General features: G+C 33.6%; 1 protein-coding gene across 64 annotated transcripts in view; it reads left to right on the top strand.

Annotated features, from left to right (window-relative positions):
- Nucleotides 1–15,733, top strand: part of INPP4B (inositol polyphosphate-4-phosphatase type II B) — an 823,376-nt gene that overhangs the window by 636,619 nt on the left and 171,024 nt on the right. For 49 of the 64 annotated variants that reach the window (NR_169617.1, NR_169615.1, NR_169599.1 and 46 more), the window contains 2 exons: nucleotides 891–1,021; nucleotides 1,388–1,492. Coding sequence is in view for 54 of the 64 variants with exons in the window: in NM_003866.3 (NP_003857.2) it covers nucleotides 891–1,021; nucleotides 1,388–1,492 (236 nt within the window). In the remaining 10 variants the exon portion in view is untranslated. Of the gene's footprint in view, nucleotides 1–890; nucleotides 1,022–1,387; nucleotides 1,493–7,150; nucleotides 7,178–12,793; nucleotides 12,917–15,733 lie in introns of all 64 variants that reach the window. The other 15 variants (XR_007057981.1, NM_001385339.1, XM_047416360.1 and 12 more) reach the window with 3 other exon arrangements.

Here is a 15,733-nt window from a genome sequence, read left to right as displayed (position 1 = left end):
CAACGCATACACATACAGTAGTTTCATACATTGTCCTTTTGGCAGAAACTGAAGCCAATAAAACCATACGTGACAATACCATTTATTTATTATCTGGGCTTTTTTTTTTTTTTTTTTTTTTTTTGAGACGGGGTCTTACTCTGTCACCCAGGCTGGAGTGCAGTGGCACAATCTTGGCTCACTGCAACTTCCACCTCCTGAGTTCAAGTGATTCTCCTGCCTCAGCCTCCTGAGTAGTTGGGACTACAGGCACGCACCACCACACCTGGCTAAGTTTTGTATTTTTAGTAGAGATGGGGTTTCACCATGTTGGCCAGGCTGGTCTTGAACTCCTGACCTCAGCTGATCCACCCACCTTGGCTTCCCAAAGTGCTGGGATTACAGGCGTGAGCCACCGTGCCCGGCCGGGCTTTTGTTTTTTTAAAAAAATATTTGTAACTATATTATATATAAACTGAATTGACTAAGTATCTCATGTTTGCTTCCAACATGGTCAGGTAGCCCTTTCCACATTCTTTGATTTTGTACAGTTGAAACTTAAAAACTTAGCCATCTTTACATAGAGGTTTTACAATTTGCTTTTTAACTAAATGTCTTCCCTATGTATATAAGAATAGGAAGTCTGCCATCTTTGTGAAAAATTTATCAGGGAATTTAACATTTCTAATTTTTTGCCCTTTGACATAATGTTTTTATTTGTGTGGTTAAGCTATTCATATTTTTTTGTGCTAAAATAATTTTTAAAAAATATTTAAGCTAATAAGCTCATAGAACTTTCCTGGGAATTAGGATGAAATAATTTCTTATTATCTTGACAACTCTGACTAAGGGTTATGCGTTTATGGATTTAAGATAAAAATAAAGTTTCTCTTCTCTTCCACTCTTAACAGAAACCAGGAGATAAAAGAACTTGGTGAGCTTTCTCCACATTGGGACAATCTGCGAAAAAATGTCCTTACTCACTGTGATCAAATGGTGAATATGTACCAAGACATTCTGACAGAACTTAGCAAGGAAACAGGTGTGGAAGCAATTTCTCTACTTACTCAAAGTGAATTGCATTTCCTGCATGTGAAATGAAAAAAAAAATAATAAATAGATTTTATGTAGATAGGAGAACTGGAGATTTTTTAAAACTCTTTTATTTCTAACTTTAACATCTTAAAACAAAGAAAAAACTACCCTATTTTACCTTACAGAATTATTATATGAATAATTGAGACAATTTTTAAAAATATTGAATTTGTAAAAGAAAAGCAACTCATAAATATAGGATATGTTTTTCTTTCTGAAGTTATTTTAACATTTTTCTGTCAAATTTATCTTTTAACACACATATTAATTTATCATTATTTACTAATAATGTTTAATTTCTGGTTTCCATCAGGGTCCTCTTTCAAATCAAGCAGCAGCAAAGGAGAGAAAACATTAGAATTTGTTCCAATAAATCTACATCTGCAAAGAATGCAGGTACACAGCCCTCACTTGAAAGGTATCATAAATTATTCTTTTAAAAATAGCAAATTATGTTACAGTGTGTACTTCTGTAAACAGCTTGACTATTGGCAGAATTCAAAAGTTTAACAATTATATAAAGTTGAAAATGAAACAGTTGAACCTCATAATGACCCTAAATTCTGTTAAAGAGACTATGATATTTTTGTTGCTGTATTTTTGAGAAATACTTTATGAATGTTTCACCTGGATTGAGGTAGAGATGAAAATGCAAACTGAGTAATAGCACCCTTAAGTAATATTAACGGTGGCTAATAGTTAACATTTAAGCTCATTTGAATTAGAAAAAAATAAATAAAAAACAAAATTTGTTCATATTTTTCCTGTCTTGAGAAACCAAAGCCCCAAAGTGGACTAATATGCCAGGTTTTTTTTTGACTTACTGATAACTATCAATAGAAACTCCCTTTTTTATGGGAAAAAGTGAGTATAGTAAGGTAGAAGGTGGTAGAGTATTTAAATGTACTCAGTTGTAAGAAATATTTGTCAAAGAGAAATATATAGGTTTTTCTGAATGTACCTGAAAGTGGTCCAGAGTGACCAATATGGTGTCATATTTACTACCATTCTACATAATCTCTTGCCATTTATCAAAAAAGTGTTTTCCAATGTCTTTTCATCTCGCTTTTTCATGAACTTATTGCTATAGCAATTATGCAAATTTAGGATGACTATATGCCCTGGTTTGCTGGCAAAAGTCCTAGATTATGTCCCTGTCCTCCATATGCCTGTGCCCATTAATGATACCCTCGCTTCCTTTCCTTCTTAAAAGTCTCCCCGTGTAAACGACTAATGCTGTGGTCATCCTACTAATACCCATCTTTTAGGGGGCCTGAAGTTATCAAATTCTTTAGGGTAAGTACATGAAAATGCATACAAACATACTTACAGAGACATCTAAATTCTCATTCTGACACTCTGTTTTGTAGCCCTTGTCACAACATAGTAGTTACAGGTTTAGAAAGGTTAAAACACAAGAGCAATTGTACACCGTTAGTGAAAATGTAAACTGGTATAGCCACTATGGTAAAAACAAATATGGAGGTTCCTAAAAAAACTAAAAGTAAAGCTACGATAGGGTCCAACATTCACACATCCGGGTGTTTATCCAAAATAATTGAAATCAGGATCTCAAAGAGATGTTTGCACTCCCACATTCATTGCAGCATTGTTCACCGTAGCCAAGACAGAGAAATGTCCATCAATGGGTGAAAAGATAAATTGTGTTATGTACAAAGATTGGATTATTATTCAGCCTTATAAAGAAGAAAATCCTGCCATTTGAGACAACATGGATGAACCTGGAGGATATTATGCTAAGTGAAATAAGCCAGGATACAGAGGGACAAATACTACATAATATTACTTATATGAGGAATCTAAAATAGTCAAACTCATAGAAGCAGGGAGTATAATGGTGGTTTCCAGGGGCTTCGGGAGGTTGAAAAAAGGAGGTATTAGTCAAAGGTACACAGTCGCAGTTATGCAAAATGAATAAGTCCTAGAGAGCTACTGTACAGTGTAGTGTCTATAGTTCACAGTACTATATTGTGTACTTAAAAAATTGCTGAGGGGGTAGATCTTTTGTTAAGTGTTCTTATACACATACACGTTAATAATAATAGTAATATTAAAGAGAGTAAGACGAAACTTTTGGAGATGATGGATAGGCTTATGGCATAAGTCGTGGTAATGGTTTAAAGAGTATATATTTATGTCCAACGTCATCAAGTTGTATACATATATATAGCTTTTTATATGTCAATCATACCTCAATAATGTGGTTAAAATGTGAAAGTGAGATCTCAGTTCTGCTTTAGAATTGTCTGAAACTTCATAATCTGAAAAATTAAACTTTATTGTTTTCTAGTGTTTGCATACCAATCATATATATATACCACCAGCTGATTTGCAAGTTTAAATGTGATTATACTTATTCTGATGTATTATGTTATTATATTTGGTGATCAAGTATATGAAATTTTAATTTAGGTCTTATTCACTACGAACTATGTCAAGTGAAAGAACTGAAAAAAAAAAAAAAAAGAGAGAGAGAGAGATGGATGGGCCCAAGGCATTTAGAAGCTGCTGTGGCCTGAATGTGTCTCCCAAAATTCACGTGTTAGAAACTTAATCCCCAGTGCAACAATGTTGGGAGGTGAGACCTAAGGGGAGGCATTTGGATCAAGAGAACTCTACACTTATGAGTGAATTAATGCCATGATAAAAAGAGCTTTCAGGAGCAAGTTTACCCTCTTTAGCTCTTTTGCCTTGTAAATTCATAAAATTTCTTCTCTTGCTTTTCCACCTTCTACCATGTAAAAGCACAGCAGAAGGCTGTTATCAGATACCAGCGCCTTGATCTTAGACTTCCTAGCCTCCGGAACTGTTAGAGAATAATTTATATTTTTTTATAAGTTACTCAATCCATAATATTATGTTATAGCAGCACAAAATGGAGTAAGACAGTAGTTCTTCCTTGATTACTGAGTGTCTGTCAATAGCTTGAATAGAACAGTAGGTAATGATTTTTAAAATAACCAGAAACAAAGTGTTACAAGTATTAAAGAAGCTAAAATACTTAAGAACTATCTGACAATCAACATAATGTTATTCTAATAGGCAAAATGAAAAGCCTTTTATGATGCAGTAAAATGTTTATATTATTTTAGAGTGTAACAGCCCTGGGCTTGAATTGTAGCACTACCGCTTTTTACATGAGCTGAGTCTGCTATTTAATCTTTCTAAGCAATTTCATTCTCATTCCTGATTGAGTTAGGGTATGTAAAACACATAGAATGATAAAATAATGGTAGCTTTATTATACATGTGGCATTTTCCATCACTGGAACAAAATGGATCTGTTTTATCAGAGCTGATGAAATTGGAGAAAATTGATCAAGTAAGAGCCTATTAAAAATCAACGAAGTCTTGAACTAAGGAAATAGCCAGGTTTAGATTAAAGATGACTTAAAGATGCATTTTGAAGAAATCATCACATGCAAATACTTACTGACTGATGGAATAAGGCAAGGAGGGAAAAGGATAATTTGCTTTACAGCCATGGGTAGATGACAGTGTCATCAAACCAGATAGATTTGTTTGGGGCCACATACATATGAATTCATATTTAATTATGTATTCAAATGTTTGTTGATTAACCTTAAAATACTTCCACCAAACAAAGAGAAACTATGACCAAAGTGGCATTTTATTTCATATTTCTTTCTTGAAAATGAAAGAACCATGTACTATGCTGTTTTCCAAGGTACCATCTGAAAAATAGAGTAAAATAGGATGAGGACAATATGTTTAGTTTCTGATTCTCTGATTTGAAAGAAACAATCTGCCAACTAAAAGAAAGAAATTTAGAAAAGCAACAAAAGGGGTGTGTGTGTGTCTGTGTGTTTACACGTGCAAGCATTTTCTAACTTGTTTGGTTTGGGATATGTATTGGTTTTCTAGGGCTACTATAACAAAGCACCACAAACTGGGTTGCTAAAATAGCCAAACTTATTTTTTTCACAATTCTGGGGGCTGGAAGTCTGAAATCAAAATGTCATCAGGGCCATGCTTCCCCTTAAACCTATGGAGTAATCCTTCCTCGTCCCTTCCTGGTATCTGCTGGTTTGCTGGCAATCATTGGCCTGCTAATGTAACACACCTGTCCTCTATCTTGCTCATGGTGTTCTCCTGCCCTCTATGTATGTCTGTTTCTGTATCCAAATATCCCCTTTAAGGACAACAGTTATATAGGATTAAGATCCATCCTAATGGCTTTATTTCAAGTGGATTATATCTGTAAAGAACTTATTTCCAAATAAAGTCACATTCTGAGGTATCTTTCTTGCGAGGTACAAGTAAACCCACAACAGGATTTAGAAAGGAAATTCTTACTTGTAATGACAAATATCAAGCAATACAGAAAAAAAAAATTTAATGTTACAGATTAGGGTACAACCCAGAAACTAGAAGATTTTTGACAAAGCAGTTAGCAGAAAGACTGGTTCTGGTCTTTGAAGAGCTAAGAAGAAAATATGGGAAAAGGCTAGATATCCTAAGAGCCACATTAATGGGAAAAGTACTGAATTGTATTGCATATATAACAGCATGCTAAATTATCAAGCTTATGTTTTAAAAATATGTAATATTAAAAGTTATTATTTGAAACTGGAGTTCAGATTAAGTAGCTGTTATGTAGACTAGGTCACCAACTACATGTTATAATACAGGTTGAAAACTCCATTGAAATTTTGGGTCCTTACCACTTACTACTTTGACTTTAACCATGTTATTTGACCTCTCTGAGTGTCATTTTATTATTTGCAAAATGAAAACGTTAAAAGTTGTCATAGGTGGTAGTGAATCAAATTTTTCTACTTTCTTTTATAACATGTATTTAACAGATTTTGGATTGCAGTTAAATTTATTTAAGTTTTGTGGCTACTGATTTGAATGTTTAGCTGAATTATTATTGCAAGGTAATAATGCAAGTAAGATGGGCTAAGCCTTGGCATTTTACTGGCAAGTTATTTGGATGTGGTCTAATTTTTTTTTTCATCTTTACCATTAGTAAATTGTGTCTATTCACATTTGATTAATAAGCCTGCTATATTTGGAGAGGAAGCTTTGCAAACAATAGCTGGCAGAGTCACCAGATACAAGGCTAATATGTAGCTCTTGAAATAAGTAACTGAGCAGAACTAATGTTGTCATGTCTCATACTGACAAATGGAATAACCTGCAGTTAACTTAGGGTGCCCTGAAACTCATTAAGTTAAGTTTTTCATCCTTATTCATTACTTAAACTAAATGCAACAAGTAGAATACTCACCACAATAGATCTTAGCCAGCAGTGACAAGAATGAAACATAAACCCCAAAATTCAAAACAAAAGTTTTTATACTAATATACTTTAATAAATTTTATTTTCACAGCACATCAGTTGTGAATATTATGGAATATAAATTCTTGTAATGTAATATTCTGTTTTATTTTATATGCTATAGATATACAATAGAAAAGTATTATATTTTGCTATAAAATTTAATGAATTCAAACTAAAGCAACTATTTTGTTTCACAGCAGACATAGTTTATGGATCTGTTGTAATCTATAGTACTAAAAGCCTTCTTTATATAACTGCATTATTAATGTATAGCTAACTCTAAGCATGAGTGTTTTGTAAATATTAGCTATATAGCTATGGTTTTACTTTGTGAGCCTGGTCCCTTTAGATATAGCTGCTTGAGTGATCACAGTGCCTGACACAGCATGTGCAAAAAAATAAAAAGAGGGTCTGGGGTGATCACTTCACCCAAGCTGAATCAATGGAGTTTCACTCGTGGATTCTCTTTGGGGATTCAGAGACAATCTCTCCTTCTGAATTTAACTCTAATTGTGTTCTAGAGAACCAAAAAGTGCTCATCTTTTCCGTGGGGAAGAAAAATCAGACATACAGTAATAAAGGAGACCACAAAAAGAGAGGAAAGGCAGAGATAGTCTCTCATGGCTTTTCAGTTCCTGATTTGAGCCCACAGGGAATGAATGGGCTTGCCCTTAGTTTGCATGAGTGAAACACACCTGTCAAGCACGGCCCCGCCCACTCTCATTGTTTTTGTTTGTTGTTTTTCAGATATCTCAAGTGGGATTCCGCAAATTGGTATGAAAAGAAGCTTAACTAATATATGTTTTAAAAAATGAGTTTATATCATAAAGCTGTAGGTGAAATCAGGTCCAACAGTAGCCAAAATTTACTGTGTTAACTATGGAGGAGTCAGCTAACCTCTTTGGCCTTTCATTTTATAATCTCTACATAGAAGGAAGGAGCAGAAGAGAGGAGCTTCTAGAGCTCTCTGATTTCTGTATCTCAAGAATGTGAGAGTATCACCTCATCAGTGAAGCATAATTATGTTAGATGTATTTAATAACGATGTCAAATTGCTTGGACTATTTTGACACAGATTTCCCTTAAAAATCCCTAAAGGCTTTTGCAATTCCTGCCAAAGACATATTACATGCCATTTTGAAATCAGGGATTATATTTAAATTGTTCCTTGATATGAGGTCAGCGTGTCTTCATTTTTGACATTAGCACTATTTTATAGTTGTAGGAATTTTAGAAAGATCTTCTGGGAAAAATAGAGTTATTATCTCATTTCTATTATTAAATGGCTTTTAAAAGGCTACAAGGCAGCCCTATTATTAAATCTCAAATCAATCTGGTGTCTTTAGTTTGACAAGACTCAACAACTTAAATTCTACTTATCTATTACTTTTTATCTATTACTTTGGATACTATGCAATTTTCACAAAGCCAAAGACAATTTTTGAGACACTATAAAATGTCAAAAAGGAAGACACATTTAAAAGAAAAAAAACTGTATTTTGTTTGCTTAAATTTTCTATAAGATATTCCCACTTAGATTTTTCTAATTGTCTCTTGATAACAAAAATCTGAAGACTTTTATTACACAGCTAAGGGCTATTCAAATCACAAAGATACATAAAGAATAGGATATAGCCATGGTAAAAGCTGTTCAAAAAATCGTAAAGAGCAGGGTACAATAAAAATATTTTTTAAATGATAATACGGATTTTACCGACCAAATTGTTACTTTAGAATTTTAATTTTGTTTTCTTATAGGTATTGTTACCTTAGAATTTTAATTTTGTTTTCTTATAGGTTATTTTTTTTTCTTGTACATTTTTTTCTCTTTGGAGGAAAACAATCAATTGCAGTTAATTCTAAATTTAAAGGAATACAACTGCCCCAGCTAAGAATGAACATGGTACTTTAAGTGTATACCATTCTTCATCAGCTGAAGAGACCAGGAAATAAATCACATGGTATACATAGATCAATCTATTTTGTAGTAGTTACAAGTGAAATTCAAGGCTGAAAGGGCCAAAGGAGATAAACCATGCTGTTTCACATTGAGATATTGGTAGCTGATAATTATGAAATGACAACTGCAAAATATTAAGAAGATTACCTAAGATAATAAATTTGCAACTTTCATAGAAAGTATTGGTATTTTAACAATTTGAGTGACCAGTTTTAAATGTGAGGGAAAATATCTCAATTAAAGTTAAAGATTACACAACTGTACAAAATGTTATTTCAGACCATGTGACAAACCTAACATACCCATAGCTGGAGAACAAAGCTGTTTCCTTTGGCTTAAATTCATGTCAGTTCTGAGAATAACATTCAGCAGCTACTTTCCAATTGTTTCCTTCAAAGCCACTCTTTGGCTATCAAAGTTAAAAGTTTAAAACTTAAAACAAGTTTTTTGAAGACCTGAAGTGTAAAAATGCTATTTAAAGCCAAACTCTTTGAACTTCTATAAAATATGCACACAAAGATTCAAGCTTTTTGAGGAGTGGTTAGAATCAGAATGCAATTGAGGAAATACAAAGACAGGGAGACTTTGCTTTATAAGTATCTAGACATAAACCATATCTAGTGTCTTAGTGGAGAAGACCTCTTGATATTAATGGAATATGATAGGTTGAAAATGCCTTTCTAGAATTTAGATAAGATGCTACACTTCTGCTAGCTGTGAGAGTTTGTCAATTTGAAATTTATTCTATGAAGTTCAAAACTGAAGAATATTTGGGGACTTTTACCCTATTTTTGCTCTCTAGTACTTTCACATTTGAGAACACATAAGTGTGCTTATTGTTTTTCAAATCTGATTGTTTTCTTGCTTATCAATATGTCTGTCTTAGAATTTCTTATCCCCAACCTGCTTTATTTTTTAACTTACTTTTATTGTGTTGTTTAAGTGATAATAAGTGATCAATAAAATTATAAAAAATGATAATAAAAAGAATGAAAAATAAAGAATAGAGGCAGATAAGGAAATAAATATGGAAGTATGTATACATAATTACTATAGGACACGTATTTTCTAGTCCTAGCTAATGAAAGGGAAAGCAGTGACACCATAGTAGCAGTGAGCATAACTAGTCCTCAGTGCTTGATTTCTAAACACTATTCTCTAATGAAAAGGATCAAGGTTTATTGGAAAGTTGGTTGATTGCAGGGCTGGGTCAGGGAAAATACAAGATGATTCTGGAGCATCTTGTGGCTCTAGAAAGTAATGACATGCTAAAAAAATTTTTTTTAATAGAATAGGTATACATAAAGGGCACAACAGCCAACCTTAAGGCGCTCCCAAAACACAAAGTTGGCACAACCTGAACAGCAAAAAGATATTACTGAGTCATTAACGAAATGAAAAATTCCCATGGGTCTATATTAATATTAATAGATGACTGAATAAGTAAATGAATGGAGGAGAAGAGTTAACCATGCCTTTCAGAAGAATTCTAATTAATAATGTGAGAGAAATGAAACAAAAAATTACTATTCAGATATATCAGTAACAATTCAAGATCCATCAATGAATGCAAAAATTAGTGAGTAAAAGTTTAAGCAGAAAAAGGATATTTGCATAGTCTCCAAGTATGTTCCCCCAGATTTTTACTAACTTTCCAGGGGAGAATTAACTGTCAGTAGTGGCAGGCACTCCAATGCATCAAGGTTAGCCTCAAAGTAGTACCGAAACATACACTGATATGATGCTCTGAGAAGGGTACATCACCTCTGTAGTGTTCTGCTCCATATTGCACAACCTAAGTCTAATGACAAACCATAAGAGAAACCCAAGCTGAGGAACATTCTACAAAGTAACTGATAAGTACTCTTCAAAAATGTCAAGATTATGAGAGACAATGAAAGACTGAGGAACTGTTATAGATCGGAGGAGCTTGAGAAGACCTGACAGTTGAATGGAAGGCAGGATCCTAGAAGAGAAAAAATGTGTGAGTGGAAAAACCAACCTGAATACATCTTCTTAAAGGAATTCTATATTCCTTCCTGTTTAGACAGCATATTAAAAGTTAATTCAAATTCCATGGAAATATTGATAGCAATTTAGTTATAAGCTCTTTGATCTTTTATAAACTATAATCCAGAATATATATACATATTACATACACACATATTCCTGAGATGTGTGTGTACATGTGCATCTTTGTGTGTGTGTGAATGTGTAGCCAGATTCTAATGTTTTTATTGACAGTGTATATAAATATTTTATTCCTCAGTTAAGAATATTAATTCCCTGTATGATCTAATGACAAACAAGACAAACCGAATTGAGCATCTAAATATTTATATATTTATTTTTTTATCGACATTGTTGAACACCTACAACATTACAATGATTTCCGTTTGGAGAAAAAGACATTAAATTCACAATGCCATATTTTACATTGTGTGAGCCTAGAGAAGAAAGTAAATTAACTATCAAAATTATTTTATGTGATACGAAAACTAATACTCTGATAAAGATATGAATTTAGGACTATAATAGGAAAGAGGAAGAAGTAAGTATTTCTAGCTGGATACATTACACAAAGATCTCTATGTAGGAACTAACTTAGCAACTAGGCCTAAGTACGAAATTTACAAGGGTAAAGAACAGAAAAATGAAGGAGGGAAGGGCAGTTTAGGTAATGGGAAGAGCCTTAGGAGAGTGTGAGAACTGGAACAGGATTAAAGAAAAGTCATTTAATTAATTGTGTCATTTACTTTCTATATTCTGACATCTTAACAGAATATGTAGAATATTTTTCCATGAATTATATTGAGTTACAAATATGAATCATAAATTCATAGTTCACAAACTATAAGTAATTCAAGGAATTATAAATAAGACATTGACCCTCTGAAGCAAAGGAATACTGTAGGGAACTCAGGGAAGGAAGCCAAAAATGAGAACAAGAAAATGAACAGAGTGGAAAGAAAAGGGAATTGTGGATATGACAGAAGACTGTGGAAGGATTTTTTTTTTAAGTAAAAATAGGGAAAAAGCATGGGAGAACGCTGGAAAAGAAAAGCTTAAGAAAAAAGTATTCTTTTTTTTAAAAAAAGGAACACATGAAAACTATAACAAGAATAGAAATGATACCAGGATGAGAAAGATAATTAAGATCAAAATTAATTTTGCTTATAATTTAAGTATGTACCTAGTTGCTGCTGTAGTAAATCATACTGAAACCTCTGTATGTTTGATAAATAAGAATTACATCAATTCTAATACAGAAATTTTCTGTCCTTAATTTTAAATATTCACAGGAAATTAGGGTAACCCTTGAAAATAGTGTGTGTTCAGTGGGTGTTTGTTTAGTGAATGAATAAAGATTAGGATAATATAGGTCCGGTCAGTTTAATCATTTTTTTTATTTTTATAAATTGCAAGCTTTTGTTTGCCCTCTGAGACCACAATTAACAATGAATGTTTAGTCTTCTTTTTGATGTGATCACAAAAAATCTCTATTTTAGAAATAAACATCTACAATGTGAACACAAATCAACTTTATTGAGCATCCAGTATATGCTCATTGTTGCTGCAGCTAATGGAAAATCTAAGCGTGACTAAGATGTTGAAGGTTGTTTACAGTATAAGTTTTTTTGTTTAGTGAATCAGACTTTGGAAAATATATCAGATCCAAAACTTACCAGCATAAGACTAGACACATTATTTAATCTCATGGAAAATCTGTTTTATTATCTATAAAGTTGGGGAAATAACATTTATCTTATAGTATTATTTTGAAAATTAAATGAGATCCTGAAAATAGAGTACCTACTAAAGTAACGATTCAGGTATGCGCTGAGTAAATGCCAGCTGTTGTCATAATTATTCATTCATTTAGTAACTTTTATTGTGATCTTACTATATTGTTGCCATCATTATTATTAACATTGTTGTTATTTATTAAATACAATTCTTATCCACAAATTAACATATATCCAGTGAAGAATATGAGTCTTAAAGCAATTGTAACAATTTTATGACCATATTCATTATTTTATTTGAATATAGAAACTATCATAAGGAATTAAATCTTCAAGGTAAAGACAAAGCAATGTGGAAGTATAGATAAAAATTATTATTCTGACTGGAATATTCAGAAAGATTTCACAGAGAAGGTGGTAATTGAGTTTGATTGCAAAAGAGCAGTGGAATTTCAGTGGCAAAGAAATGGGAGGGAGGTTAGGATGGAAAAATATCCAAGTCAGAGAACACAAAGATGAAGATGTAAAGACTTCAAGAAATGTGGAATTGCTGTTGTAACTGGACAACAGGCAATCATGCTATAAATAAGGAGTACCTCCCATGTGCCAAGCATTGAGGATATACTCTTGAAAATGAATGACTACAATAATTTTCACTTTCTTTTTTTTTTTTTTTTTTTTGAGACGGAGTTTCACTCTTATTGCCCAGGCTGGAGTGCAATGGCGCGATCTCGGCTCACTGCAACCTCTGCCTCCTAGGTTCATGCGATTCTCCTGCCTCAGCCTCCCCAGTAGCTGAGATTACAGGTGCCTGCCACCACCCCCGGCTAATTTTCTGTATTTTTAGTAGAGACGGGGTTTCATCATGTTGACCAGCCTGGTCTCAAACTCCTGGCCTCAAGTGATCTGCCCTCCTCAGCCTCCCAAAGTGCTGGGATTACAATAATTTTCACTTTCATGGTGCTTATAATACACTGGATGATGTGACCAAGGAAGAATTGGACCCAGGTCATAAATGATCTAAATATGGCCTTGAGATGTTTTAATGTTCTTCTATGAACATTTATAAGGAGGAATTAAGTACTGAAGGCTGTGTTTCAGATAGAGTAACCGACCAGCCACTCATATAAAAGTGAACTACTGCATTGTGGATGCAGAGAGGCTAACATTGAGAGGCAGTAGTCATCCTGACAGAAAATGGGGAAGGTGAGCACTAAGATAAAGATAAGTATCATGAACAGAAAGAATTAAATTTTTGTAACAGAATTGTTAGAACTGGTGAGATATAATGATGAGGGAAGGAGAGGAGTCGAACATGATCTTGAGGACTCTACTCTTGGAGGCTTAAAGGAATGTGTTGTCTGTAATTGTCACAGGGAATCAGGAAGGAAGAGCCAGTTAGGGTCAAGCGTTAGAATATGTTAAGCTTAATAGGCTTTGACACTCAGATGTGCCCATCAAGCAGTTAGGAATTGGATTATTTTGTTTGGAAGAGGTCAGAACTAGTCAAGAGATTTCATAGTCCTTGGTAAAAATATGGTGTGAAAACACTAAAAGGGATGAGTTCGTAAATAGAAAATAGAATGAAAAGAAAACGTCAGAACTTACAGAACAGCTTGTTCATAACTTTAGGAGTTATAATATAGATGGTTCTAAAAAAACACAAACTCCTTCATTTAGATTTAACAATAAACAATCAGTTCTTTTTTATGAGAGGAGGAGACTATTCAAACAACATGCTTCTTCTCCTTTACCTTCTATTTCAAAATGTCTCGGTTTCTTCATAGATGTCTAGAATTCTCATGAGCAGTGAGGTGGATGAATAGAGACTGTTTCTGTTCCCAGAGAGTAGCTTTGGAGGATGCTAAAATTATGGATGAATTGAAGACACAGATTCACCGTAAAGCTGAAACAGCTGAAGTGTCAGGGCCTGCCACTTGCATAGTCCTCGTATAAGACACTACAAGGAATTATAAATATGCTTGTGGTCAAATGTTTTTGCAAATTTGGCAAAAGTTAGTTATTTAAACTTTCATTAATTCAGAGTTCAGTCTCTATTCAGATTTCCCCTCCCTTTTCCTTCCCTTCTTATTGGGTAGTTCTAGAGAGGCTACAGGCAATGTTTTGGGGGAAGTTGAAGTGAGAATACATTTAGTTTAGGCTTAGTGGAATATATGTCTACATTTTTTAAAAAACAGCTTTACTGAAGTAAAATTGACCTAGAAAAACTTGCATATATTTTTACAACTTGATGAATTTGGACGTAGGCATACCCGCATGAAACTATCACCACAATTAAGGTAACAGACAAATCCATCAAGTCTAAAAGGTTTTTTTGTGGCCTTTTTTTGGTTGTTGATGCTGTTTTAAGAACACTTAACATGAGATATACCCTCTTAATACATTTTTAAGTAAATAATACAGTGTTATTAACTATAGGCACTATGTTATACAGCATATCTCTGGAACTTATTTTGCATAACTAAAACTTTATGCCTATTGAATAACAACTTTGCATTCCCCCTCTCCATTTCTTGACAGCCACCATTATATTCTCTGCTTTTATGAGGTTGACTATTTTGAAAACCTCATGCAAGTGGAGTGTTTGTCCTGGAACTGGCTTATTTCACTTAGCATATTGTTCTCCAGGCTCATTCGTTTTGTTGCAGATGGCAGAGTTTCCATCTTTTTAAAGGCTGAATAATATTTTTAGTCATTCTGTATATTGTTGGTATTGCTGGTCACCCAGTTTTTGGCAGAAATGCCGCATATTTTGTTGCATTGTCATGATAATTTGTCTTTTTGCATTTAAATTAACATGGGAACTCATTCCATTCAGAAGACTGAGCCCCAGCATCATTTTTCTTTTCAGACTCAAAAGTTTATTTTTATGGGGATATAGACACCTTTATTGGTGGGATAGTTTCTTATACAGAAAATAATAATCGTAGATAACATTTACTAAATGCTTACCACTTTTAGCTACTTTCAACTACAATTTATAGGTAAGGAAACTGAGACATAGAGAAGTTAAATAAGTGGCAGATCAGGAATCCAAAGCCAGCGACTCAGGTTCCCATCAGTAACTTAAACCACCAGGGAACACTGACTCTCTGTCACTGAGTTAGAAGCCAGAAGTCCCTGAGTGTAAAATCCTTGGGGTTTTAGACAAAGCAGTTAACTTCTAATGATCCTCAGCCTTCTTATCAGATAAATGGACAAAGCAGTTAGCTTGTAGTGATCCTCAGGATTCTTATCAGATAAATGAAGGTAGACTAGAACATAATGTTGGTAACTTTGGGGTGATCTTTTGAGCCTTTGAGAAAGCTGTGATGCCTTTCCATGACATAGAACAGATGTAATTATGTAATTAACAAACATTCTTGGACACCCTGAAACCAGTGTCTTAGCCCTAGGTTAAAATCCCCTGGACTAGAAAATATTTAAATTTCTTACAGATCTAATGTTCTGCTATCTTAATAAGAGCTGACTTCTAGTTTATTAGTGACTTTTTAAAGAGGACACAGTGAACTATTAAGTGATTTTCATTGTATGCCTTATTGACGGGTTGGTTTGTGTTGTATTCTTTCTTGTGATCTTGCATTTTCTGAATGCTGCTGACAT

Source organism: Homo sapiens, chromosome 4 (genome assembly GCF_000001405.40).
Source record: "Homo sapiens chromosome 4, GRCh38.p14 Primary Assembly".
Lineage (NCBI taxonomy): Eukaryota > Metazoa > Chordata > Mammalia > Primates > Hominidae > Homo > Homo sapiens.
The sequence above is the reverse complement of the archived record's forward strand: the minus strand, read 5'-3'. Positions and strand labels throughout refer to the sequence as shown.